General features: G+C 60.5%; 1 protein-coding gene across 7 annotated transcripts in view, besides 3 other annotated features; it reads left to right on the forward strand.

Moving 5' to 3' along the window:
* DOT1L (DOT1 like histone lysine methyltransferase) overlaps positions 1-26,756 on the forward strand; it is a 68,646-nt gene that overhangs the window by 21,328 nt on the left and 20,562 nt on the right. For 5 of the 7 annotated variants that reach the window (NM_001411141.1, NM_032482.3, XM_011528359.3 and 2 more), the window contains exons 3-16: positions 595-669; positions 4,472-4,535; positions 5,752-5,980; positions 8,429-8,523; positions 9,255-9,317; positions 14,624-14,679; positions 17,440-17,519; positions 21,469-21,537; positions 22,314-22,420; positions 23,675-23,716; positions 25,140-25,250; positions 25,361-25,595; positions 25,839-25,952; positions 26,491-26,582. In NM_001411141.1, the coding sequence (NP_001398070.1) occupies positions 595-669; positions 4,472-4,535; positions 5,752-5,980; positions 8,429-8,523; positions 9,255-9,317; positions 14,624-14,679; positions 17,440-17,519; positions 21,469-21,537; positions 22,314-22,420; positions 23,675-23,716; positions 25,140-25,250; positions 25,361-25,595; positions 25,839-25,952; positions 26,491-26,582 (1,432 nt within the window). Of the gene's footprint in view, positions 1-594; positions 670-2,936; positions 3,030-4,471; positions 4,536-5,751; positions 5,981-8,428; positions 8,524-9,254; positions 9,318-14,623; positions 14,680-17,439; positions 17,520-19,946; positions 20,180-21,468; positions 21,538-22,313; positions 22,421-23,674; positions 23,717-25,139; positions 25,251-25,360; positions 25,596-25,838; positions 25,953-26,490; positions 26,583-26,756 lie in introns of those variants that run through there. The other 2 variants (XM_047439514.1, XM_011528361.3) reach the window with 2 other exon arrangements.
* Positions 10,275-10,803: an enhancer, noted in NCBI's record as "H3K27ac-H3K4me1 hESC enhancer chr19:2195534-2196062 (GRCh37/hg19 assembly coordinates)". NCBI's record gives its function as "activates a minimal SCP1, AML or CMV promoter by ChIP-STARR-seq in naive H9 embryonic stem cells {active_cell/tissue: H9 hESC(naive)}" and the evidence as "EXISTENCE:reporter gene assay evidence [ECO:0000049][PMID:30033119]".
* Positions 10,804-11,332: an enhancer, noted in NCBI's record as "H3K27ac-H3K4me1 hESC enhancer chr19:2196063-2196591 (GRCh37/hg19 assembly coordinates)". NCBI's record gives its function as "activates a minimal SCP1, AML or CMV promoter by ChIP-STARR-seq in naive H9 embryonic stem cells {active_cell/tissue: H9 hESC(naive)}" and the evidence as "EXISTENCE:reporter gene assay evidence [ECO:0000049][PMID:30033119]".
* Positions 14,987-15,960: an enhancer, noted in NCBI's record as "H3K27ac hESC enhancer chr19:2200246-2201219 (GRCh37/hg19 assembly coordinates)". NCBI's record gives its function as "activates a minimal SCP1, AML or CMV promoter by ChIP-STARR-seq in naive and primed H9 embryonic stem cells {active_cell/tissue: H9 hESC(naive and primed)}" and the evidence as "EXISTENCE:reporter gene assay evidence [ECO:0000049][PMID:30033119]".

Below are 26,756 nucleotides of genomic sequence, written 5' to 3' on the forward strand. Positions count from 1 at the left end.
GGGTCCCTAGACCAGCCCTGTAGCAGATAAGTTCACTTAGGTCCCCAGAGCCACTGGTGTGTGGCCTCGAAGCCACGTAATACCTGTGTGATTCAGTAACAGCTTCGTGGTAAACATCGTAGCCTTCGTTTTGAAGTCACGCCTCCCTTCTCTCTCCACTTTGAGTGGAGGGGTAAGGATGTTTGTTTTCTGTTGGAGAGGATGCAGTGTTTAAGAACATGCGGGGTAATACTCAAGATTGTTTACACCTGTCATCCCAGCACTGTGGGAGGCTGAAGTGGGCGGATCACTTCAGGTCAGGAGTTTGAGACCAGCCTTGCCAAAATGGCCTAACCCGGTCTCTACTAAAAATACAAAAATTAGCCAGGCGTGGTGGTGGGCACCTGTAGTCCCAGCTACTTGGGAGGCTGAGGCAGGAGAATCGCTTGAACCCAGGAGGCGGAGCTTGCAGTGAGCCAAGATCACGACACTGCACTCCAGCCTGGGCAACAGAGTGAGACTCCGTCTCAAAACAAAAACAAAAACAAAAACAAAACACAAAACAAAACAAAAAAAACCAAACCCTTCCTGATCGTTTCTGCTGCTGTGTTTCAGATGGGTCTGTGAAGAAATCCCGGATCTCAAGCTCGCTATGGAGAATTACGTTTTAATTGACTATGACACCAAAAGGTAAGCAGAGTCCTGTCCAGCCGCTCCGCTCCGAGGACAGACTCGGCTCTTGGGGAGGACAGGAGGACGCATCCTATAATTAGCTCTTCTTAGATGGTGCAAGCTGATCTGAAATTTCCTTTTAGAGTTGGCCGTGGCCACCATAAAGTTATTTTGGTAGGAAATGTTTATCAACTCTTGGCAAAGGCTGTCAGAGGCCGGACAGAATTGGAAACTCCGGTTGTGGAAAGTGGGATTGGCATGTGTGGAGTCAGCCCGCGCTAGTGATCGCTCTTTTTATAGCGGGCGGCTGACGGCCAGAAGTCCGCGTTCCTGCCTGAGGCTGCTGGGAGGGCCTGGGCGGCCTTAGGCTGCTTGGCAGCTCTGTTTAGATCTCAGCTGGGTTTGGTTAGTCCCTCTGTCTCCAGCCCTGTGGCTGCGTTAGCAATTTCGCCCTGGCAGCTCCTGGGTCTCGGAGGAGGGTCTTGTGGGTGGAGAGGGGCAGGGCTGTCTCTGGAATGCTTGCTTGGAAGTGTTTTGTTTTTCTTTGACAAGGAAGACATTCCAGGCTCATGCCTTTTTCAGCTCTTGAGTCTGAAATCAACAGAGTAGTCCTCCATCAAGGGCTGTGCTGTCGTGAGCTTAGGTGAGCCCCTCTCCACAGAGAGTCAAGCCCAGAGGGCCACGCGGCTGCACTTTACCTGGCTCTCCGGCCTCACTGGCATGTGGGAGGGACTCTTGTCTGGGGTCAGCGGTCTCAGCCTCAGTAAACCTCGAGATCCTGTGCCCCTCCCTCGAGCCCTGCCCATTCCCTGGTCAGCACCCTGGTGCCCCACAGGCAGACAAGCGTGTTGCTGGCAGGGTCCTGCGTGCCGACCTGCTGCTGTGGATTTCACGCCACCTGCCTCGCATGTCGGGGCCTCTCGCCACCCCCCCTCATTGGGCGTGATGGTGTGCTGGGCCCTTCCCTGGTTTAGTATGAAGAGTGTGATGCAGCGTGCAGATCAACAGCCGCATGGCAGGGTCCACAGGGAGGGGCCTGCAGGGCCCTGCACAGAGCTCTGTGTCCGTGGAGTTGGGGAGCACTAACCCCAAAGCTCTGCACCCTGTGCTTTCGGGTTTTCACGGAGGCTTCTCGGAGACTTGCTTGATGATTGCCTCCATCTCCAGTCCCCTCTTTCTAAGCTTCTTACCGCAGCTTGGGCTTTACCTCACCCAGGAGCCCCCCACAAGTCGCTTCCTTACAACAGAAGACACTCCTGTCACCTAGAAGTTCCCAGGGATCAGGAGCTTTGTTAGGAACTAGAGTCCCCTCGGATGAGTGGGTGTTGTCGGGCTGAGCCCTTTCACATTAACCTGGGGCAGTTATGGCACCTCACTTGTGTGTGGCCAGCTTCTGCCTTGGCTCTGAGCAGCGAGCGTGTCAGACGCTGTGCTCACGGCGCCCCTCCACGTGGGTGTGTGGCGTCCTTCCTCTTCGCGTGGGATGGGCTTAGCCAAGGCTGGAAGGACATCAGGGACAGGCTGGGCAGGGGGTCTTCGTTGGAGCTGGCAGGGCCACCTGAGGGACCGAGCCATTAGGGCTTCAGACCAAGGACAGCCCCAGCTCCTCTGAGCACCTGCATTTGCACAGCCTGCCAGGGAAGAGTCTCTTCCCAGGAGCGTGCAGAGGTGATTTTGGGAAGGTCTGGTTGTCAGGGTTGAAGGCGGCGTGTAGAAGTGGAAACACAGGGGCTGGGCACCGTGGCTCACACCTGTAATCCCAGCACTTTGGGAGGCCGAGGCGGATGGATCACGAGGTCAGGAGATCGAGACCATCCTCGCTAGCACAGTGAAACCCCGTCTCTACTAAAAATACAAAAAATTAGCCGGGCGTGGTGGCGGGTGCCTGTAGTCCCAGTTAGTCAGGAGGCTGAGGCAGGAGAATGGTGTGAACCCGGGAGGCGGAGCTTGCAGTGAGCTGAGATCGCGCCACCGCACTCCAGCCTGGGTGACAGAGCGAGACTCCATCTCAGAAAAAAAAAAAAAAAGGGAAGTGAAAAGACAGGAAGGGCCAGGGCTGCTCCTCTGGAGCTGCGGGGAAGGCGGGAGGCAGCAGGCCGGCTCTGTGGGTTCCTCCGGCCCGCATGGTGCCTGCTGGCCCTCTGCACCACCTGGGCTCCTTCCACCCCCGTGTCCTTCGTCCTCCGGAGGATCCAGGTCCTGTGTGGCCGTGCTCCCGGGGCTGTCGGCAGGCTCTTGTTCTTGGTGTTTGCTCCTCTTAAGTTCTCTTGCTTTATCCTATGCAGCTGCTGGTTAAGGAAAACATGAACTTGGCCTGTGGAGCACTGGTTTTCCTATGAGGAAGGGGAAGTGTGAACCTCGGCACATGCAGTGCCCAGGTGAATTCAGGGTGGCCAGGGCAGGGCAGGAAGAGCATGGGGCTGGGGCTGGGGTGGGAGCAGGGGTGTGATTGTTTAGCCACGTCTCGGAGCATCTGCCAGGCTCTTGGGGTTGCCATTGGGAGGAAACTGCTTGCGTGCACGTGGAGGTGGCGGAGGACGGAGGCGGAGGAAAGAGTCCCCAGCCGCCGCCCCCCCCCCCCCCACCCGCACAGGTGCAGGCCCCCTCGGCGCTGGGGATGTGGAAGTCGGATTGTTCTCTGGGAGGGGCCGTCCTGGGCACTGCAGGGTGCCGAGCAGGGTCCCTGCCTCCATCTCTTGCTTGCCTCGCCACATTCCTGGGGTCCCCGGTGAGAGCCACTGTGTGTGACAGTGTTCACTGGACAGGTACGCCTCCTCCTCCTGTCTCTTGCTCTGCTCTGGACACCTTCTGAGGTGGAGGGACAGACGCTGTTGTCCACATTTTGCCAGTGGGTCCAACAGACTTGGAAGATGAGCAAGTTATCCCAGGTGGAGACTGGACAGACTAGGCCAGGCAGACCCCGTAGCAGGCTTGCCCCCACCCCGGAAGCCCCTCTGAGCCCAGGCCTGGCTGGGCCGCGTGGCCGGTGTTTCTTGTGGCTCACGTGCCCCACAGACAGTGGGCACTCCCTGGAGCACAGGTGCCCCCTGCCCTCTGGTGGGCTCTGCCCCGATGCTGTTGGGTTGTGGGCACTTAGGTAATGAGGGTTTGCCTTGCGGCCAGGGCAAGGAGGGCAGAGTTGCTGCGGGGGGACTGAGTCTCACTGTGGACCCTGCTGTGCCGTGTCTGACATGACACACTGCTGACGTGACACACTGCTGACGTGACACACTGCTGACATGACACACTGCTGACGTGTGAATGAGTTGGAGCTTTGGAAGGACACGCTCACAGAGCAGTGTGGGTGGGGGTGAGGCATCTTCCTTTCTGCAGTGCTCACTCCTCCTGCACCTGCCCGGGCAGAGGCCTGGTGGTCCCTGGGAGACCCCAGCCGTTCACCTGCCTCTGGCGATGGTGGCTGTCCCCAGCCAGGGCAAGGAAGACCCTCTAAGGCCGGCCCCAGGGTTTCCCACTTGGGGGGCTGGCCTCAGTCCCCCTCGAGCCCTCTTTCTCTCCTCACGCCTCCAGCACACGTGGACCTCGGCTTTGCGCGGGAGCCTGGGCAGGTCCAGACTGCCTCAGGGCTCAGTGCTTCCCTGCACCGGACTCTCGGCCGGCCACCTCGCTTGTGTGTCAAACCTGAAATCTCCTGCATCAGGGCGGAAAGCGAGGCTTCTGCCAGAAGGGTCTTGGCCAGCTGGCTGGTGGCTGTCCAGGCAGGGACCACACCTTGGAGCCTGCCTTATCCACATGCTGTCCCCTCCCATGCATGCGGCTGGCTCCTGCCCGCATGACCAGGGCCTTCCCTTGCCTTTTTCAGCTTCGAGAGCATGCAGAGGCTCTGCGACAAGTACAACCGTGCCATCGACAGCATCCACCAGCTGGTAGGTGGCTTGCCCCTGCCCAGAGGGGGTTAGTAGTGCCAGGCTCCCGGACCCCTCCAGACCCCTTATGTCACCGCCTCGGGGCACAGAGCTCCCCTTAGAGCCCCTGGGGATTGGAATGTGCAGCGTGGGGGGACGATGGGCTGTGGGTGAGTGGTGTGGGGGCTGCCGAGGCTGGGCTGTGTGCTGTGGCCGTGTGCCAAAGCAGAGCCGTCCGTGGTTTGTGTGCTGAGGCAGGGCCCTGAGGGTTGTGGTGTCTGCACACGCCTCTGCAGCCCTGGGTTGGTGTCCGCAGGTCCCAGCAGAGGCGGGGTCCCTGTCCTCCCCGGGCTGTGTGAATGCCGGCCTTCCCCCTTGGACCTCCCCCACACCGCCTGCCTTCATCAGGCTGGATGCCGGCCTGGGCTGCACCCTTGGGCACCCCGGTCCTGCTGTGTCTCGTGAGGCTTTCCTCACAGAGGACGGGGCACACAGTGAGCTGGGGTGTAGCAGGGAGGGGAACGTGCTGCTTCCCATGTTCTAGAAAGCACCGGGGGCCCCTGGTGCATGGGGGTAGGGGAGCTCTTTCTTGAAGGTCTTGCTGTGGAGGGAGCCCTGGTGGGGGTGGCATGGGCTCACTTGGCCCTCCTGAGTGGGACTGGGCTGGGCTGGGCTGCCCCATCAGCCTGCCACCCGGCTCTGGCTTCCCCTCAACCTCATGCATGCAGCTCTGTGGGCCCCTGAGAGCTGAGCTGGCCTGGGCGAGAGGGGACCACCTCAGCCTGCTGCAGCTGGTGGGGAGGAAGGCGGGGTCCCACGTAGTCGAGTCAGATGAGGTGTGGTAGGCTCAGGGCTTTCACGGGGCTCGTGGCACCTGACGGGGGTCCCTTGGTGTCAGCGCCCCACCCTGCTGCCTTGGCCCAGAGGAGGGGTGGTGGTCTTGGTGGCCTGTGTGGTTTTGGTGGTCTTGCCAGTGGGGAGAGAGGCCCGTGGCAGGAGGTGGAGCCTCCTAGGACCCCTCTGAGTTGGGGCCTGTCCCTGGGGATGCTGCTTTACTGCTTGTAGGAAATGGGGCTGGGTTGGAAACTGACCTGGGAGCCCGGCAGCCACCCTGCAGGGGGACGAGAGGCCATGCAGCCGACTCCCTGCTTCCGCTGGGAAAGGTCCCGGGTCTTGGTGGTGGAGGGGCTGGGCCGTGAGGTTTATGTGACATGGCCGGGCCACCCTCCGTCCGCAGTGGAAGGGCACCACGCAGCCCATGAAGCTGAACACGCGGCCGTCCACTGGACTCCTGCGCCATATCCTGCAGCAGGTCTACAACCACTCGGTGACCGACCCCGAGAAGCTCAACAACTACGAGCCCTTCTCCCCCGAGGTGTACGGGGAGACCTCCTTCGACCTGGTGGCCCAGATGATTGATGAGATCAAGATGACCGACGACGACCTGTTTGTGGACTTGGGGAGCGGTGAGTGTCGCCCGCCATGCCCGGCTCCTGTGCACTTCCAGGCCACACGCTCTGTGCCTGCCCCATGCCTGCTTGGAGAAGAGTTTATCAGGGACTTGCGACGTTGGCGTGGACAGTGCTTCCTTCTCCCAGCGCCTCTGTCCCGCTGTGGGGCCGTTCCTTTCCCCAGCCCTGACCGGGCTCCACCCAGAGGGGAGAAATCGCAGGAACCCAGTGGCTCCCAGACCAGGCCCATCCTCCCAGGTGCCCGGAGACTCTGCTTTCGTCCTGCTTCCCACCAGCTGGGGAGCTAGACCTGTGCACCCTCTACTGCTCGCTCCCAGAAGCTGCCACTCGCTAGCCTGGGCCCCAGCCCGGGCCCCACCCACGGCTGCAGCCTGCCGCAGTCCTTCCCTGGGCACACCTGCTCCCTCCACAGCGGCTGGAAAGGTCCCCCGCGGAGGAAGACCCCAGGTCCCTGGGCTCCCGGAGGCCCTCGCGCCCTCCCTGCATCCCCAGTCTCCCTCGGCACCCCTGCGTCTGGGCCGTGCCCTGCCCCTCCCAGGTTGGGGCTCCCACCTGCTGGCATTCTTTCAGCCTCTGCCTGCACTCAGACTCTGCTTGTGAGGTGTCGTCTCCTCTCAACCACGGGCGGGGCTCCTTGAAACGAGGCCCTAGGTGTGTCTTCAGCAGCAGCGTGGCCTGGCTGAAGCACAGATGAGCGGCCCGTACACGAACAGCCTCAGTAGCCTGACGAATTCTTGATAGGACCACCCCATCCAGGCTGCAGGGCTGACGGGGCCACCCAAGGGTCAGACAGTGAAGGCCCCTTCTCCACAGTGTCTAGGCTGTCCCTGGGCTCCTTGGACCTCGATGGACATGTGAACCTTGTGCCTGCAGGCACGCGAGCCCCACGTCTGCCCCCTTTCCACAGTCCTGGCTTTGACGTGGGGAAGGGGCCCCAGGGGCAGGGACCAAGAGGACTTTGCACAGACTGGGTGTGGCAGCTCACGCCTGTCATCTTAGCACTTGGAAGGCTGAGATGGGAGGGTCACTTGAGGCTAGGAGTTCAAGACCAGGCTGGTCAGCATAGCAAGATCCCACTTCTGTTTATTTATTTAAATTTATTTTCAAATTTAAAAAATGCAATAAAAAGAATGTGTATCGTCTGGACGTGGTGGCTCACGCCTGTAATCCCAGCACTTTGGGAGGCCAAAGCAGGCGGATCTGAGCTCCTGAGGTCAGGAGTTCGAGACCAGCCTGGCCAACATGGTGAAACTTTCCCTCTACTAAAAGTACAAAAATCAGTTGGGTGTGGTGGCGCGCGCCTGTAATCCCAGCTACTTGGGAGGCTGAGGCAGGGGAATTGCTTGAACTTTGAAGGCGGAGGTTGTGGTGAGACGAGATCGCATCACGGCACTCCGGCCTGGGTGACAGAGTGAGACTCCGTCTCAAAAAAAAAAAAAAAAAAAATGGGGCATATCTGGCTGGGCTCTTTGGCTCCTGCCTGTAATCCCAATGCTTTGGAAGGCTGAGGTGGGAGGATCGCTTGAGCCCAAGAGGTTGAGGCTGCAGTGAGCCAGGATCACACCACTGCAGTCCAGCCTGGGTGACAGAATCAGACCCTGTCTCAAAAACAAAAAATTAAAAAGGCTTATATGTTTTAGATGATGACGGCCTAGCACTTGCTGGCCGGGCCCTGGCCCCCCGTCCCTGTGTGCTTCTCTTCCCACTGGTGTGGTGGCGGCGGTCTGTGCCCATTGTGGTCGCTCCATGGTTCATGCCCGTTCCCTGGAGCACAGAGCTGCCTAGCAGGGGAGGAGAGGTGGCTTGACACCCCCGGTGTGCGCCGCTGCCTCCACCCTCCTGACGCTGGCGTATCTGCAGCCCCTGTTCCCTCCTTCTCCCTTAGAGCCGGGTGTTGCTGGGTTGTGTGCTGATGCTGTGAAACCGCAGCGGCCGGGAGACTGTCCTGGCTGCGGGGGACCCCTCACTGCCTCTCCCACCCTACATTGAGCCTCAGTCAGATCCTGCTCATGAGCCTTCCTGGGGTGCCATAAGATTTTATCAGCCAGGTTGCTGTGTGTCTGTGTGCTGGTGACGTGGGGATAATTTGAGGTGGACGGCAGCCTTTCCAGACCTGCAAAGTCTTGGGCAGCCCTGTCTGTCTGAACAGTGAACATCACATAGGGCCCTGAGACTCAAAATGGATTCTGGTTTCGGGGGCCACCAAGTGATGTCCATGGATGACGCGTTGTGATGACCGTCCCCTCGTGGGGGCTCTGTCAGGGGCCTGGTCTCTGGGAAGGATCCTGAGTGACCTTGGAGCATCGGATATGTGTGGAGACTGTGGCCTCCCCTGTGGGTCTTCATGGCCGCATTCTTGTGGCCTCTGTCTCCGAGCCTAGCACGGCCTCCCGGGTGGCATCTGAGCGCTGTGTGGTATCTGATGGATCTCTCTGATCATAGGTGTGGGCCAGGTCGTGCTCCAGGTTGCTGCTGCCACCAACTGCAAACATCACTATGGCGTCGAGAAAGCAGACATCCCGGCCAAGTATGCGGAGGTGAGCGGATCTGAGGGCCAGGGTGTGTTGGAGGCAGGGGACCATCAGAGAAAGTGACGCCCTGGGTGCCTGCACCCCACTGCTGTGGGACTTCCGAGTCTGGGTGGCGTTCTTTCCAGGCCCAAGACGTCTTGGTTGCCTGCAGCGTGTGCCTGTGAATAGGGTGCCCGATCGCCCTCACGGCCCATTACAGGCCGGCCCTCCAGGCCTGTCCAAGCGCTGCAGGGGTGTCTCGGAGCCTGTTTCATGGCACGTGCCACTAGTGAGGCGAGAGGTGCTCAGCTCTACCTCGTGGCACAGCCCTCCGAGAAGCGGGGTGTTTTGGGTGGCCTGCCCAGGCAGGCGCATTGAGGCCCTGTTGCTCTGAGAGTTTGTTGTTGTTTTTTTTTGTTTTGTTTTGTTTTTGAGACAGAGTCTCGCTCAGTCGCCCAGGCTGGAGTGCAGTGACTCGATCTCGGCTCACTGCAAGCTCCGCCACCTGGGTTCACACCATTCTCCTGCCTCAGCCTCCCGAGTAGCTGGGACTACAGGCGCCCCCCAACACACCCAGCTAATTTTTTTGTATTTTTAGTAGAGACGGGGTTTCACCGTGTTAGCCAGGATGGTCGCAATCTCCTGACCTCATGATCCGCCCTCCTCAGCCTCCCAAAGTGCCGGGATTACAGGCGTGAGCCACCGCGCCTGGCTTGCCCTGAGAGTTTGTAACGGGCGTTTGGTTTCTTTCCTTCCAGACCATGGACCGCGAGTTCAGGAAGTGGATGAAATGGTATGGAAAAAAGCATGCAGAATACACAGTGAGTGCCATCGCTCCGCCCCGGCTCCCATCGCCGGCCCCACCCCCGCTCCCACCCTCCTGTCAGCCCCTCCTTTCTTGCCGATGTTGGCACATGGCTGTTGGCACATGGTGTGCCCCCTGGAGTCCCCTCTGGTTCTCGTAGGGCTGCCTGGGCGTGGCGTCTGAGCCGGCAGCAGGCGCCTCTGTTGGTACCGTCCCTCTCGTCCTCTCTGACATGGCTTCTGTCCCTCGGCAGCATGCGGTGCACAGAGGTGGTGCAGGGAATGGGCTTGGGGCTCCATGGAGCGGAGGCCTGTGGGACAGGCTGGGTTCTGGGCTGGCTGCGGCATCCTTGGGGTGTCATCCCTCACTGGGGACAGCCTTGTTTGGACGGGTTCCTGGTCCTCAGTGCTGTGTTCTTCATGACAAGCCAGCAACCTCGGGGTGGGCAGTGTTCTCTCCCGCCCTGTTGTGATGCAGTCTCAGGTGCTCCTCCCATGGACCCTGGGGATGGCGTCGCGTGTGGCCCTCCCTGTAGGGTGTGCGCTCCCCTTTCAGTGGCTGAGTGGCAGTGGGATGGGTGTGGGGGTGGGAAGGGGATGCTGTTTAGGGAGCAGGAAGGACAGTTTTCCTGACCCAGGTTGGGTGATTAATGGGCCATAGCTTCCAGGAGTAGCCACCACTCCTGCATCCTCCTGGGAACTCCTTCCCACCCCACGCTGAGTCCTTAGACACCAGGCTCCGCCCTGGTCCTTTCCACACAGAGGCCTGCAGAGCTGGGTCCTTCCTTGACCTGTGTGCTCCTCCTCACAGTCCCAGCTGCTCAGGCGCTCACCTGTGGTGGAGGCTGATGGCGCCCCGGGCCCATCTGCTCTGTCTCCCAGCGACGTCCCAGACCTCCCCGCCCTTATGGGGTGTGGGCTTGGTGCTGGTGCAGCTGCTCCCGTGATGTGGATTGGAGGGTGGCTTGGGGTCTGGGGACTGCAGGAAGGTGGATGCTTCCTATTCTAGACCTGGAGCCCCTGGAGTACAGAGCCCGCAGCCCCTCGAGCCTCAGAGCCCGCAGCCCCTTGAGTCCTGAGAAGCTTCCCTTATAAGGCAGAAGGAGTGCTGGGTGGGGCGGGCACCAGGTCACCACCCTGGGAGGACGATGGCACAGGGGTTGCCAAGCTGCCCAGCAGAGCGGCTCAGGATGGAACATGGCAAGGCCAACTCGTGATCCCAGGTGCCTGCGACGACCCAGTTCCTGGGTGGAATCCGCAAGTTTGCAGAAGCAACAGAAACAAAGTGTTCAGGGGTCCTGTTGTCATTCGACTCTCACAGTTCAGAGGGATGCATGAGGGACACAGGTGGCATACAGTTCCAGTCCCCTCCCAGGTGGTGCCCACCCCTCACTGTCTCCTCAGCAGGGTGCGTGGAGGCGTGGCTGGGGCTGTGTGCCCGCCCGTCTGCCTGGAGCTCCCTGCTGAGGTGCCCTCTGTGGGCCTGTCAGCCAGGGCCTTCCTCGGATCGCCGTGAGGCCTCGACATTCCTGTCATTGCCACGAGTGGGCGTGCGTCCTGCCTAGCACGCGCCCCTGTCCCCAGCTCAGACCCCTCCGCACTGTCCCACAGCACAAGTGAAGGCCGGTGTCAGGGTGCAGGGCCCCGATCCCTGGTGGCCCCGACCGGGGTCAGGAGCCCTTGCCAACTGGCTCTGCCTTGGGCGTCCTGGCTGTGGTGGTCTGGCAGATGAACCTTTTGGAGGATCACTTGAGCCCAGGAGTTCGGACACATTTTTTTTGTGCATGTGTGAAAGAAAGTCTTGTTCTGTCGCCCAGGCTGGAGGGCAGTGGCGCAATCTTGGCTCACTGTAGCCTCCGCCCCCTGGGTTCAAGTGATTCTCCTGCCTTTGCCTCCTGAGTAGCTGGAATTAAAGGCGCATGCCACCACGCCCGGCTAATTTTTGTATTTTTAGTAGGGATGGAGTTTCACCATGTTGGTCAGGCGGGTCTCAAATTCCTGACCTCGTGATCCGCCTGCCTCTGCCTCCCAAAGTGCTGGGATGACAGGTGTGAGCCACCGCGCCGGGCCTCCTTGGGGTTTCCTACGTTGACAGTTGTGTCGCCTGCAAACACGGAGCTTTGCCTTTTCCTTAGCAGTCCGTGTGCCTTTCCTCTCCCTTTCCCGTACCCTCGTGCTGGCCGGCGCTGGCATTTCCCATGCCATGTGAGTCGTGAGGGCAAGACGGGTACCCTTCCCTGCCCTGGTCTTGGCGGTCAGCTGAGCCCCTGGCCGCGGAGCACGGTGTTAGCGGCGGGCTCGTGTGGATGCTCTCCCTCGGGTGGAGGATAAGCCCGTGGTCCTGAGTGTGCAGCGTGCGCTTTTTCGTTGCTGCTTCTAGTGTCAGCGCGGTGCTGTGGTTTCTGTTCCTCACCCCGTTGCTGTGATGGGTTTCCAGTGCTGAACGCGTCCGCCTTGGTCGGCGTGCGATTCTGTTTATCCAAGGTGGGATTCTGCTGGCTGATGGGCCGCTGAGGGGTTTTCTGCCGTGGTGGGAGCCGTGGCCTGCGGTGCTTCCTTGCGGCCACGCCTGTCTGGTTTGGTCTCTGGGTGGCGCTCCCTCGGCTTCTGTTCTGCTGTCTTTGACCAGGACTTGCGCATCCAGGGCTGTGGGCCCGGCTCTCCTTCCCTTTCTCATGGTGATTGTTCCCAAATGCTGTGCCCACAGTGGAAGCTGTGTGGTGTCCTGGGTTCTGGGTCCACTTGCACTCTGGCCGGAAGTTCCCACATGGGTTCCTGGCTGTGGCAGGCGAGCCACACAGATCCCAGCACAGAGGATGGAAGCCCTCGCCATGGTTCCCAGCGATGGCCAGGAGGGCGCCATGGTGCCTTCCTCCGCGCGGTCTGGCTGGGCTGAGCCTTGCTCAGGAGAGGGGTGCTGTCGGGTGGTGGGGCTGCCGCAGCACTGCTCCCCCTTCTGCCTCATCTTGTCAGCGTCTGGGTCAGCACCCTGCCTCCTGGGGCCTGGGTCCATGACACGGCTGAGCAGCATGGTGTCTAGTGTGGCACAGGTGCTCCTGGCATGGAGCTGCGTTCGTGGTCTGGATTCCGTGCAGGTTTAGGTGCTCACGGTCAGGCCAGTGGCTCCTGAGATGTGTCTGGGAGCATGATTTGGGGGAAAGCGTGGCATTCTTCGTGGCTTTGGCAACACGTGTCAGAAAGAACCTGGTGGTGGGGAAAGCAGGTGTCAGTACCAGCCTCTGCCTCTGGCATCCGTCCTGTTTACAGCCAACCCTGCTGCGGAGGGTGGGTCAGAGAGGCTTCCACCTGACTGTTCCCTGCCCTTTCTGATGGAAACTTGCATCTGATATTGGAGGAAACCCTCGGAGCAACTCTCTGTGGCTTTGCCTGTGCTCCACTTGGGAGGCTCCAAGTCCTCCCGCCTGAGCAGTGTCACCAGGGAGGCTCCTAGAGACCCAGACCCCCGCTTCCTATGGGGCCGGCATTTCAGACTCCAGAGGGAAGCAGGGTTGCATATAAACCACGGTGTTTGCAGGAACAGCTTCGGCCCCAGAGCCCATCCTGTCATGGAGCGTGGGGGACCCCAGGGAGGGTTCCCAGCCCCAGGCCTGTGATGCGAGCCCGGATCTGCTTAGTGCTGCTCAGGACTTGGGATTTGAGTCATTTCCTGGGTGGCTTGTTCACGGGGAATGAGGGATGTTCAGAGGGTCTGTCAGGTGTGGAGAGGGAGGAGACGGGTGTGGGGGGTGGCCCAGCACCTGCAGAGGCTCAGGATGGCTCGCCTGCGCACCTCCCATCCCGTCTCCTCCCCTCCTGGGGGCTTCCCGCGGCCTTGGAGAGCGGAGGATGTGCAGCTGCTCCTGGCCGGGGCGGGTGGCCCTGCCCTCTGGATCTGCGTCTGGGTGGACGAGTGGCCCTGTCCTCCGGGCCCGGGGGGGTGTCCCTGTCTCTCTGGGGCTGAGTGGGTGGGCCACCCTGTTGCTTGGGGCGGCGGCTTGCTTGCGTTACCCTCTCTGCTCGGGGACTCCGTCCCCATCCTGAGAGACGCTGGGTGGGGCGCGAGGCCTGTGGCTGTTGTGTGGAAAGGAGTGTCGCTGGTCCTCCCTCGGCTCTTGGGGTGCTGGTGTGGGCTTCTGCTGTGGCCCAGGTGCCCTCACCCCCAACTACTCCAGCCCCCAGCATGAATCCCCTTCCTGTCTCTGGATGGGCCTGTCCCGGACATTTCACAGAAACAGGATCACACACTGCGTGGCCCTCTGTGTCCGGCGTCTCTCACTGAGCGTGGCGTCCTCAAGGTGCATCCGCGATGTGGCCTGGGTTGGAGCCTGGCTCCTGTTCTCATTGGGGTCCTGCTTCCAGGTGTGCGCGGCCTCGCTGTGCTGTGTTGATCTTTCATCTGCTGATGGACGCTTGGCTGCTTCCACCTTTTGGCTGTGATGAGTTGTGTTGGCTTTTGGAGGCATTTGTGTCCGGGCTTTTGTGTGGACATGTTTTTATTTCTCCTGGGAATGGAGGTGGTAGTGTTTTTGAAGGATTTGAAAGGCGGTGTCTTGATTGTCCAGATGCTACCGTGTTGGACAGCTAGGTTAATAAGAGGTGTTTTCTCCTGGACGGTGCCAGGTCTTGAGGTCTGGAGGTGGACTGGCGTCGGGCTGCAGCTGGCCTTGCTGTGAGTGTGGCGTGGAGCTGTGGGGACAGCGCTGCTGTTAGCAGGCCGTCAGCGGTGCTCAGGGCAGACGCCCCCAGGGACTGGCGGCTCAGCTTCCCTGTGTGCGTGTTTCTTGTGGTTGGTGAGGGAGGGACAGAGCTCGGCGCTAGGCTTTCTCAGCCTGGCCGAGTGTCGCTGCCTGCCGCAGAGGGTGCCCCCCAGCGCCCTGTGGCCTCCCTCAGGCCCTGCCTGGAGCCCAGCATGGTGGGGACTGCAGGCCCTGCCTCGGGGCGCCCCTGCTGGCCGCCTCTGGTCCTGAGAGTGGCTGCAGCCCCTGATTTTGAGCTTACATTTCTAGGAGACTGCAGCGTGGCTTGCAGGTGTGTGTTGGTGTGGCCGCAGTCCCCTTGGCTGGGCCTGGCCTCCCCAAGCGGATGCTGGAGCACGAGGACCTGTCCCGGCTTCTCAGGAGGTCCTGCCCGTTCTCTGCGCATCCCTCTCACGGACCCTTCTGCCTGCAGCTCCCAGGGCTGCAGCCGGTGGGGCCTGGGCCTCCTCCTGCTCCTTCACTGCAAGCGGAGCTGTGTTCATTCCATTCTTTCTTCACAGGGGCTGGGCGGGCTGGGAGTGCCAGGGAGGCCGGGGGTCCGCGCTCACACCTGTTTTCCCTTTCAGTTGGAGAGAGGCGATTTCCTCTCAGAAGAGTGGAGGGAGCGAATCGCCAACACGAGGTATGGCCAGCGTGGGGCATGCAGGGCATGTGGGGTGTGCGCTCACAGGCGGGCGGTGGCCATGGCACCGGGGACCGGGAGCGGCCCCTCGCTCCTGTGCTGGCTGTGGCAGGAAAGAGGCCGGTGGGGACAGGAAGGGCGCCTTTCCCTCACGCTGGGTCTCCCTCTGCGGGCGCGCAGAGCAGACGTGCCCAGCAGAGCCCCTGTCGGCCCTGCAGACCCTGCTGGCAGTGAGCCCGTTCCTGCTGCCTGTCCCCTTGACTTTGGGACACTGTGGGCCCCTCTCGCCTGGTTTCCTGGGCCTCCTCCCCGCTCAGGCTTGGTCTGGGGGTCTTCCTGTCTCCATCCATCCCTTCTGGAGTGGCTGGCACCCACACAGCACTATGAGGGCTGCTCGAGGGAGCGGCCCCTCGTGGTCCCAAAAGCCATCTCTGCACTGCCTGGGCTTGCCCCTCCGCGCCACCTCGCACCCAGGCCTGGGAGCTCAGGGCACTGTCCAGGTCCGTCCCCACCGCCACCTGTTTGTCCTGGTGGCCACGGGCTCTGTATGGTTGGGCTGGGCCCCCGTGCTTTCCACTGCCCAGCCTGGGTGTGGCCACAGCACTCCAGCGTGTGCCAGGGACCCTGGAGGCCCAAGGCGCTTGTGAGGGCAGCCGGGGAGGTGGGGTCAGCAGCCGGCTGGGCCCTGCTCCCCCAGTCCCGCCATCCTCCCTGCTCCCCTCATCCTCCCAGCACTCTTTGTCCTCTCTGCGCCCCTCGTCCTCCCCACATTCCTCGTCCTCCCCGCATTCCTCATCTTCCCTGTATTCCTCGTCCTCCCCGCATTCTTCATCCTCCCCTCATTCCTCGTCCTCCCCGCATTCCTCGTCCTCCCCACGCCTCTCGTCCTCCCCGCATTCCTCGTCCTCCCCTCATTCCTCATCTTCCCTGTATTCCTCTTCCTCCCCGCATTCTTCATCCTCCCCTCATTCCTCGTCCTCCCCGTATTCCTCATCCTCCCCGCATTCCTCGTCCTCCCCGCATTCCTCGTCCTCCCCTCATTCCTCGTCGTCCCCTCATTCCTCGTCCTCCCCGCATTCCTCGTCCTCCCCGCATTCCTCGTCCTCCCCGCATTCCTCGTCCTCCCTGCATTCCTCGTCGTCCCCTCATTCCTCGTCCTCCCCGCATTCCTCGTCCTCCCCGCATTCCTCGTCCTCCCCGCATTCCTCGTCCTCCCCTCATTCCTCGTCCTCCCCGCATTCCTCGTCCTCCCCTCATTCCTCGTCCTCCCCGCATTCCTCGTCCTCCCTGCATTCCTCGTCCTCCCCTCATTCCTCGTCCTCCCCGCATTCCTCGTCCTCCCCATGCCCGTCATCCTCCCTGTATTCCTCATTCTCCCTGCATTCCTCGTCCTCCCTGCGCCCGTCGTCCTCCCCGCTCCCCTCCTTCTCCCTGCATTCCTCATCCTCCCCATGCCTCTCGTCCTCCCCGCACCCTCGCTCCTGCTGTCTTCCCTGTGCTCTTCTTCCTCGGGTGTGCTCGTGGCTTGTGGTTGAGTGTCCCCCATGGGCAGGGTTTGGGGAACAAGTAGAAAATGGGGGTTTCTTTTCCCAAAAGTTTCCTAGGTTCGCTCTCCTGTGTGAACTTCCATTTGGGTTGGGGTGCTGTGCCCGCCGGCGGGTGTTCTGCCATCTGGAGGGAATCGTGCTGACCCTGTGGTGTCCCCATCCCATGGGGTGGTGGTGGGAGCGCAGGGGGACCCGCAGTGGTCAGGCCGTGATTACTGTCTTATAACAAACTCTTAAGAAGCCGAGAGATTTCTGGCGTCCCGTTGACATCTGGGCTCGGCCCAGGCTCTCACAGTTCCTCTCCAGGAGCTGCCAGCCTCGCTGCCTTGTCAGGCAGCCCCAGCCCTAGGCTCAGCCTGCTCTGGCTCTGGGCACAGCGTGCAGGTCTTGACCAGGAGGGACTCCTCCCACAGGCTGCCCACTGGTTGTGGGATCTTGCACTGTCTCTGGCCTCAGCCTGTTTTCCCTTTCCTGGGTCTGACTCACGATGGTGGTGGCTTTGGAGGTGTGCATCACGGAGCTTCCTTCCCTGAACACCCAGTTACCCAGGTCTTTCTGGCTCACACCGCTCAGCCACCTTGGCCACCTGAGCTCAGCCGACCTCACGTCTAGCCTCCCTAAGTGCGGTCCTGAGTGGGGAACACGGGCAGCCCAAGGAGCCTCGTTTGAGGATGCCTGGCCTGGGAAAGCAGTGCTGGGCCTGCAGGGGAGCCTCTGGTTCCCCTGTCCTTGCCAGAGTGTCTGAAATGCTGCCAAGGGCGCCTCACCTGGGACCCGTTGTCTGCGGTCTCTGCAGCAGTTGAGCGGGAGCCTCTGCTTGGCGCCCCCTGTTGCAGTCCAGCCCCGTGCTGGGCCTCTGTTTTTGGCCACCCACCTTCTTCCCTTGGCCTGTGGGTACTTCACGGCTGCTCTTCCCACCTTGTGTGGGCTGCTTGTGAACCTTCCCAGATCACTGGACTCCAAGATTCACAATAAGAGACTTGGTCACGAATCCTGCCCCCTCTGTTTTTGGCCCCACTCAGAAGAGGCTGCAGTTGCCTTTTCCCTGCACCTGAAACCCACGGCGTGCGCTCAGCTGCGTGGGCTTGGCCCTGGAGGTGGCGGGCGGGTGTGGGCAGGGCCTAGCACCGACAGCAGCGGTTGTTGGCTGCGCCGGGTGGCTGTGCCCGTGAGACGAGCCTTCATGGCACTGAACTGGAGTATTGTTTTGCAGTGTTATATTTGTGAATAATTTTGCCTTTGGTCCTGAGGTGGATCACCAGCTGAAGGAGCGGTTTGCAAACATGAAGGAAGGTAAGGCGCCCTCCTCGCCGGTCTGTGCTGGTGTGACATGATTGAGGAAGGGTGGCCAGGAGGTCCCCGCAGGGTGTCCTGCAGAAGGCAGCTCAGACTTGGGGTCTTCAGTCCCCTTGGAGCCAGGTGGTCTTCCTTTATGCTTTTTTTTCTTTTTTTATTGAGACAGTTTTCCTCTGTCACCCAGGCTGGAGTGTAGTGGCACAATCTCTGCTCACTGCAACCTCCGCCTCCCGGGTTCAAGCGATTCTTCTGCGTCAGTCTCCCGAGTAGCTGGGACTACGGGTCTGTGCCACCATGCTCAGCTAATTTTTGTTTTTATTTTATTTTATTTATTTTTTGAGACGGAGTCTCACTGTGTCCCCCAGGCTGTAGTGCAGTGGCGCGATCTCAGCTTACCGCAACCTCTGCCTCCCGGGTTCAAGCAATTCTGCCTCAGCCTCCCAAGTAGCTGGGATTACAGGCACATGCCACCATGCCTGGCTAATTTTTGTACTTTTAGTAGAGACAGGATTTCACCATGTTGGCCAGGCTGGTCTCGAACTCCCGATGTCAGGGTGATCTGCCCGCCTCGGCCCCCGCAAAGTTTTGAGATTACAGGCGTGAGCCATTGTGCCCAGCCCTGGAATCTTCTTGAGTTGAGCCTACAGCTTGCTTATGGCCAGCTGACCACCCAGGGGCAAGAGTCCCCTTTATTCTTGACCTAAGCACATGGAACTTGGTGTCCATACTGAGCAGGAGTGGGGCTCTCAGCTGTTTTGTTTTCTCCCTCCGGAGAAAGGTCACCAGGCCCATGCAGGGCCCTTCACGCTGTTTTCTGAACCCCAAGCCCTGGCGTAGTTTCAGGAGCGGAGAACTCAGCCCATGACATCGATTCCAGTCCTGCAGTCGAGGGTGGTACCCAGACCACACTCTGTGGACTGCCCATTCCCTAAACATGGAGACTGAGCCTGCCATTGTCTCCCAGCCCCTGCCAGCCCTCCAGCAGGACATAGGGCAGGTTTGGGGTCTTCCTTGAGGGGATTGTGCTGCCTGCCTTCCTAGGCTCTCCACCAAGCCCTGCAGCAAGCACCACCTCATCTGTATCCTGGCGGACGTGGCTTCCAGAGCCACTGCTGGGCTCGAAGACAGGCGCTCTGGGGGTACCCCCTCTTCCTCCCAACTGCTCCCCACCTGTCCTCTCTAGGGAGGCCTCCAGAGGCTAGGGGAGAACTGCGGTGGGCTCCTCAGGCCTCCCAAACAAAACCCAGAGGGTCTGCAGCTGCCTTCAGCACCAACGCCCCACAACCTGGGGGTTTGGAGGGTGCTTGTGTGCCTGTGTCTGTGTGTGCGTGTCTGTGTCTCTGTGCATGCCTGTGTCTCTGTGTGTGCCCGTGTGCCTGTGTGTCTGTTAGCGTGTCTCTGTGTGCGTGCCTGTGCGTGCCTGTGTCTGCATGTCTGTGCCTGTGTGCATGCCTGTGTGTGTGCGTGCCCGTGTGCCTCCGTGTCTATGTATGTGTCTGCTTGTTTGTCTGTGTGTGTGCATGCATGCCTGTGTCTCTCTGCGTCTGTGTGCCTTGGGAGTTTGTTTGCATATCTGTGTGTGTGTGTGCGTGTGGCAGTGGTGTTTCTGACTTATCTTAGAACCACGTGAGGACACCATGCTTCCCCGCCCAGTCGCCCCCACACCCCAGCAGCACTACGGGCCTCCCTGCACCCTGCAGCTGCATGCAGGAAGGCAGCAGTGGCTTCAGGCAGCTCCTGTCACCCCCTCCATGGTCCTCGTACCCGCTGCCCTAGAACGCCTCTTCTGGCTGTTTCTCGCCAGCTTTCTCTGCACGATCAGACGTGGTGGCTGAGTCAGGGTACTGCAGTGGCGTCTTCTGTCCGGCCCCTCCCTGTTTTGAACATGTCCAGTGAAGGGCAGGTGGCCAGTAGTGCTGATTCTAGGGGCCTTGATGGTCCCAGACATGCCCATGAGCATTTGTTAGCCTGGCTCTGCAACCATTAGACGTGGCCCTGCTCATGTTTGAGGTCCTCTGGTAGGGATACTGGCCTAACCTGTGTGCCCAGCCTGGCCCTGGAACCGCCCTTCCTGCTCCTCCTGAGGGGAGTGGTGTGTAGAATGCCAGGCCTGGGCTGGTGTGGCGTCCAGGGGAGGAGAGCTGGGATGGCGGAGTGTGCATGTGTTTAAATGGATCCACTTTGACTTTTAATTTTTTTTTTTTTGGAGACGGAGTCTCACTCTGTCGCCCAGGCTGGAGTGCAGTGGCGCAGTTTCTGGTCACTGCAAGCTCCGCCTCCCAGGTTCACGCCATTCTCCCGCCTCAGCCTCCCGAGTAGCTGGGACTACAGGCGCCCGCCACCACACCTGGCTAATTTTTTTGTATTTTTAGTAGAGACAGGGTTTCACTGTGTTAGCCAGGATGGTCTCGATCTCCTGACCTCGTGATCTCCCTGCCTCGGCCTCCCAAAGTGCTGGGTTACAGGCATGAGCCACCGCACCTGGCCCACATTTTGACTTTTATGATTACCTTCTTTATATGTGTAAAAACAGAAGGCTCTGTTTCTCTCGGTCCTGCGAAGTTCGGCTCCTGACACCAAGTTCTTCCTGCAGCACACACAAGATGCCCCATAGTGGCTGGTGATAGTGAGACTGACGCTTAGCAGCAGCCTTGCAGGTGCCTGGCTGACTTTTTTGTATTTTTAGTAGAGACGGGGTTTCACTGTGTTGGTCAGACTGAGGCTGAAGGTGTCCATCCGGTCTGTTTGTCTTTGCATTTATCACTGACAGTCAGTTAGAATCCCAGGGTTCAGAGGTATTTGAAATAATTCTTTTCGCATGACTGTTTCCAGTTTGCATCTACAGTTAGATTTTGTTCCTGCTTGTGTACGGCTTGGGGGTTTGCTCTTCCTGCCTCTCAAACCTTAGTTTTTTGTTTTGTTTTTTTTTGAGACAGGGTCTTCATCCTTGGCCCAGGCTGGAGTGCACTGGTGTGATCATAGCTCCCTGCAGCCTTGACCTCCTGGGCTCAAGTGATCCTCCTGCCCCAGCCTCCCGAGTAGCTGGGATCACAGGCATGCACCATCATGCCCAGCTAATTTTTTATTTTAATTTTTTGTAGAGATGGGGTCTCCCTGTGTCCCAGGCTGGGCTGGAACTTCTGGCAGTCTGCCCGCCTTGGCCTCCCATAATGCTGGGTTTACAGGCGTGAGCCTGTGCGCCTGGCAGCGTAGTGGGTTTTTTTTTTCTTTTGAGGCAGAGTCTCTCTCTATCGCCCAGGCTGGAGTGCAGTGGCGCGATCTCGACTCACTTGCAGCTTCCACCTCCCAGGTTCAAGTGATTCTCCTGCCTCAGCCTCCCGAGTAGCTGGGATTACAGATGTGCGCCACCACACCTGGCTAGTTTTTGTATTTTTTTAGTAGAGACACGGTTTTACCCTGTTAGCCAGGCTGGCCTCGGGTGATCCACCTGCCTCAGCCTCCCAAAGTGCTGGGATTACAGGCATGAGCCACTGCACCGCGCCGAGAATGTTTTTTAAAGAAGCATTATTTGTAGGAGGTTGGGCGTGGTGGCTCACTTGAGGCCAGGAGTTCCAGACAAGCCTGGCCAGCAGGGTGAAACCCGCTCTCTACTAAAAATCCAAAAATTAGCCAGGTGTGGTGGTGTGCGCCTGTAATCACAGCTACTCGCAAGGCTGAGGCAGGAGAACCGCTTGAACCAGGGAGGTGGAGGTTGCAGTGAGCCGGGAGACTCTGTCTCAAAAAAAAAAAAAAAAAAAAAAAGTTATTTGTAGAATAGGCTTCAACTTGGAAGGTGTTTCCTAGTGTTGCTTGTAGGCAGGTGGACAGGACCCGGAGCCCAGTGTGTGTGTGTTCCGTGTCATTGTTCCTTCTCTGTCACCTTGAGTGGTGTCTGCTCTTCTGTTTCCTCTCTCCTGTGTGGCAGTAAGCAGTGTCTGTGTTTCAGGTGGCAGAATCGTGTCCTCGAAACCCTTTGCACCTCTGAACTTCAGAATAAACAGTAGAAACTTGAGTGGTAAGAAACTCTCATGTTGTTAATGATGAACACGGGTAATTTTAACCATCTGACACGCAGTATTCCTAGGTCCCTCTTCCTTGACCCTGTGGACACTGGGGCTGGATCCTTCTGTGGGGTGGGGCTGTCCTGGGCAGTGCAGGGTGCTGAGCAGCGTCCCTGGTGTCCACCCACTCCATGCCAGGAGCACCCCTGGTCGCGACAACCACACACGTCCCCATAGAGCACTGTGTGCCATGGGGGTAGAATCACTCCTCGGGGAGACCCCGGCTTCGAGGGGAGGCGTGAAGGATTTACAGGACTTTTGTGGACAGAGACAGGCCCACGGTGGGAAGGAGCCGGCCCCTCCCATGCCCCCTGCCTGCCTTACTGTGCTGCGTGCTCTGTCAGCTCCCAGCCTTGCGGGGCAGCACGGCCTCCTCTGAGGGGCTTCCCTGAGGAGCGCCCACCCGGGAGGTGCCTGTGTTGCTGGATGCTGGCCGTTCTTGCAGCCGTGATCTAAGTCGCTTCCAGATCTTCTCCCCCTCCTTTTCCATTCCACTCAGCTGGGTTTGTGGCTGTTTTTCTGAGGTTGGAGGGGCCCAGGCCAGGTGGTGTTGAATGGTGCACCTCCCTGGGCCGGCCTCTGTGGGCCACTGTGGCCTGACGCAGTGTGGGAGAAGAGGGAAGACGCGCAGCTCAGGCTTCTGTCCCCACGCCTGCCCTGGGGTGGGTGAGGTCTGCATGGAGGGGCTGTGGGCAGGCGCAGGCCCCGGCCTCACCTGTGGCTCCTGCAGACATCGGCACCATCATGCGCGTGGTGGAGCTCTCGCCCCTGAAGGGCTCGGTGTCGTGGACGGGGAAGCCAGTCTCCTACTACCTGCACACTATCGACCGCACCATAGTGAGTATCTCGCTGCGCCTCAGCCGCAGGGCCGTCCTGGTCTTCCACCCCGCCCACGTCACACTGCTCTCTCCTTTCTCATGTGGCCTCTGAGACCCTCCCCTCAGAGCCCTCAACGCCCCCCGGCCCCTGAGCTCAGGCCCAGCTCCTCAAGGCCCCTCAGTACTGCTTGCACCGCAGGACCCACCAGGGTCCTCCCAGGCACTGGGCGTGTCCTGGGTGAGGGCTGAGTGCTGTCTCCCCTAGTCTACGCTCAGCTCCTGGGGTGGGGCGGGGCCATCAGAGTGATGTGTGACCATAAGGGTCCCGGCCGCCATATCCAGAGGCCCCTGTGGATAGGAGTCCCACGTCCCTGTTCCCAGCTTCCTCCATGTGAGAGGGTCCTGAGCGGGGAGACACCAGGGTCCATGGGTGGGGTCTGGGATGCTTCTTCCCTCCCTGTGTTCCCCAGGGTCCTCTGACACAGCCCTGGGCCAGTGTGCGGCCTGCCTGCCTCCCACGGTGCTTCCCCCCCGGGCACGAGTATCCCGAGCCTCCTGGCATGTGGGCAGCGCCAGCCCTCCAGGGCTGGGAGGCTTCCCCTGGTCTCTTTCCCGTCCTTTGGTTGGGCACTCTGTTCCTGTTGTTGGGGTAGCGGTGGTTTTCCTTACGGTGGTGCTGGTGTGTCTGCACCCTCACTGTCCAGTGCTCGGAGCCTCCACTAGAGCCTGCCTGGGGAGCGCTGGTGCCGTCTGGGGACCGACAGCCCCAGGCAGATGCACCCCGCCCTCCCACTGCTCCCCCGAGGGCCCTGGGACGAGAGGCATGGTGAGCTGAGGCTGAGGCTCTGGGGGCTTGGCCTACCGTGCGGCCCCCACCTCCACGCAGTGCTGCTGCTTCAGCTGCCCTGGCACTGACGCCCTCGGCGCAGCCTCTCGCCTTCTCCTCTGAGGCGGGCGCGGTTCTTCTGTGCAGAAAGCCCTCCCTCTTCCAGAAGCAGAGACACATCCCAGGGCCCTGTGTCTGTTCTGAAGGCTTAAACCAGCCCCGCCCACCCGTCGCGTGCTGGTGAATTGAGGGTGACGCCTGGCCACAGCTGGGTTAGTCACATCCGCGTTTGCCACTGGGGGGCTCTAGCTGCATGCCTGCTGTCCCCAGATACCAGAACAGCCTCCCCAGCCACTGTCCAGGTTGCTGTTGTTACCTGGGTGTCCAGACAAATCCGAACAGAGATTGGGACTCCCTTCTAATCAGGGTTCTCTTTCTTCTTTTTAGCTTGAAAACTATTTTTCTAGTCTGAAAAACCCAAAACTCAGGGTAAGTTTGTGTGTTTTTTCTCTTGGGTTAATAACACGCATGCACTGATGTGGGGAAATGCAAAGCCGTGCGCAGCCGGGTTCAGGAGCCACGACTGGAGCACAGCCCTGCCGCCCCTCGGGGCCCGGCCCTGTGCCCTTTCCCGCCTCCTTCCTGCTCCTCCCCACTGTCACTCCTGGTCCTCTCCCTACCCTTTCCTCCCTGTCCTCCCCCTCTTCCTCTCCTCTCCCAGCCCTTTTCTCTCACCATTCAATCTCTCTCTCTCTCCCCCACCCTCCCTCTCCGTTTCTCTCTCTCTCCCACCCTCTCTCTGTCTCTTTGCCTGTCTTCATGCTTTGCCTTGTCTTTGATGGTTTGGCCTGGGACATCCTTCCCCTTGTTAATACTTATTTTTGGGGAGGTGGCTTGGCTTAGTTTTGGTGGTGGGGTGAGTTGCACTGAAGGGCTGGGTGGGTGAAAAGCTTGTGCGTCACTGCTGGCTGCCCCCTCTTGAGGCCTGGGGGGCCACACATGTGCGCTTGTCCCACCCTCGGTGCAGAGTGCAGCTCCTGGGCCCCCGCGCCCTGCACGCGCTGCACCGTCGGAGGCAGGGCTGTCCCCTCCTCTCCCACCTTAAAGCAGCGGTGGGAAAGCCTGGCTTGGGGAGCCACAGTGGCCGCCCTGCCCGCTGGCGCTTCTGCAGCCTCAGACCTGCCTGCTTATTTGCCACCAAAGCTGAGAGGATGTTTGTCCGGGCGTCCTTTCCTTTTGGAGGGGGTCAGACAAGACCAGCATGCGGAGAACCCCGTACAGGAAGGGCTCTGTCACTGCCTGGATTTGTAGCCAGGGCTGGGCTCCAACCCGGCCTCAGAGCCTGGTACCCCTCGGGGGCCCTCTGTCCTTCCCACCATGCTTAGGGGGATGTGGGTCTTCCCTGGAGAGCAGGGAACGGCCCGAGGTGGCCGGCGCACCCTGTGTTCCCCTTCCCGTGGGTCGCGCCCTCCACTAACTCACATCAGAGAACTTGTGCATGGCGTCCCATGTGTGGGCCTCGGTGCCTTTCGAAGAGAGGAGAGAGGGCAGGGGAGGCTGTGGGCTGTGGCTTCTAGGTCCTGCTGCCTGAGGGGCTTCTCGTCTCCTGTCTTGGATGTGGTTCTTTTTCTCTGTGGCTCACAGTCTGGCTTCTTACTGACAGGCATCTGTGATTGTGGGAGTGGCTGTGAATGCCGTTATCCGTGCCCACGGGTCACGTCCTGGCCTGCGGGGCCCCAAGCAGCCCACTGCTGTCTCTGGGCCTCAGTTTCCTGATTTGTGCCACAGAGGACTTGCAGTGGACAGAGTTGGGCCCGTGGCCCCCTTGAGTCTGAGCTCCGCGTGCCTCTCGGTGCAGGAGGGCCGTGGGCAGCGCTGGGGCTTCCTGTGGCTCAACCTGCTCTCCTTCCAGGAGGAACAGGAGGCAGCCCGGCGCCGCCAGCAGCGCGAGAGCAAGAGCAACGCGGCCACGCCCACTAAGGGCCCAGAGGGCAAGGTGGCCGGCCCCGCCGACGCCCCCATGGTAAGGCCCCAGCCTGGCTCCTGCTGCTGGAGGGCACCCGCCCCCTGCCCGGGAGACCCCATGGGTGGGAGGCTCTGTGCCCATCCCTGTTCTTCCCTTGTGTCCTCCAGGACTCTGGTGCTGAGGAAGAGAAGGCGGGAGCAGCCACCGTGAAGAAGCCGTCTCCCTCCAAAGCCCGCAAGAAGAAGCTAAACAAGAAGGGGAGGAAGATGGCTGGCCGCAAGCGCGGGCGCCCCAAGAAGATGAACACTGCGAACCCCGAGCGGAAGCCCAAGAAGAACCAAACTGCACTGGATGCCCTGCACGCTCAGACCGTGTCTCAGACGGCGGCCTCCTCACCCCAGGGTGAGCCGCCCCCACGCCACGGCCCCCGCTCTCCCCGAGTGCGGATGCCTGGGGTCCCCTCTGCTGGGACGCTGCCCTCCTGAGCCCCGTGTGTTCAGGGTGTCCCTGGAGCCTCCCTGTTGTGGCTGTGCCTTCAGGGTGGCCCCATCCTAAGGGGTTGCTGGGCACCTGCCCCATGCTGACGCCTCTGCCCACCGCTCTCCCGACCCGCCCTGTGCTGACGCCTGCCCTCCGCTCTCCCAGATGCCTACAGATCCCCTCACAGCCCGTTCTACCAGCTACCTCCGAGCGTGCAGCGGCACTCCCCCAACCCGCTGCTGGTGGCGCCCACCCCGCCCGCGCTGCAGAAGCTTCTAGGTGAGCCCGTGTGAGGCGTCCGGCGAAGGGTTCTGGGCTTGGGGTCATCCCAGGAGGACCGTGGGTTGTGACGCTGACCTCGCAGCAGCCCCCGTGACCTCCATGCTGGACCCCACTGAAGTTTACCCAGGGTTGGGGTCTGCCTGCTGCAGGGGTCAGTAGAGGCTCAGATGCAGCCTGTGGGTTGTCTGAGGTCTTACCCAGGAGATGCTGGGTGACACTTGGGACGTCTGCAGTTGTCATAACTTAGGGATGTTGCTGGCATGGGGTGGGTGCAGGCCAGGGATGCTGCTCAGGGCCTTGCAGTGCCCAGGATGGCCCCACGCGGTGAACACTTGGCTGCGCAGGGGTCAGAGGGCCTGAGTGCTCTGCGAGCTTGGGGCGTGTGGCATGGGCCCCGCCAGGCTCTGCTGAGCTCCTGCCTCATGAGTGCCTGACACCTGCCGAGGCCTGGGACTCGTTCTCAAGGGCTGCTCCCACCTCTTCCCTCTCAGTCTCAGCTGCTCTCTTCTCACCTGTGTTCCGCCTCTCTTCCCAGAGTCCTTCAAGATCCAGTACCTGCAGTTCCTGGCATACACAAAGACCCCCCAGTACAAGGCCAGCCTGCAGGAGCTGCTGGGCCAGGAGAAGGTGGGTCCTGGCCCCCTTGGCATTCCGCCTTCCCGCACAGAGGCAGTTCGTTCCTGTTCCTGGGCATCTGTCCCCTGTGGCAGAGGCCCTGGAGCGCAGGCCTGAGTGGGCTCCCTCCTCTGCTCACCTGCTGCGAGAAACAAACCTACCCGTTTAAACCCAAAGAATGGACTG

The sequence above is a fragment of the Homo sapiens genome, chromosome 19 (assembly GCF_000001405.40).
Source record: "Homo sapiens chromosome 19, GRCh38.p14 Primary Assembly".
In the NCBI taxonomy this organism is placed as follows: domain Eukaryota; kingdom Metazoa; phylum Chordata; class Mammalia; order Primates; family Hominidae; genus Homo; species Homo sapiens.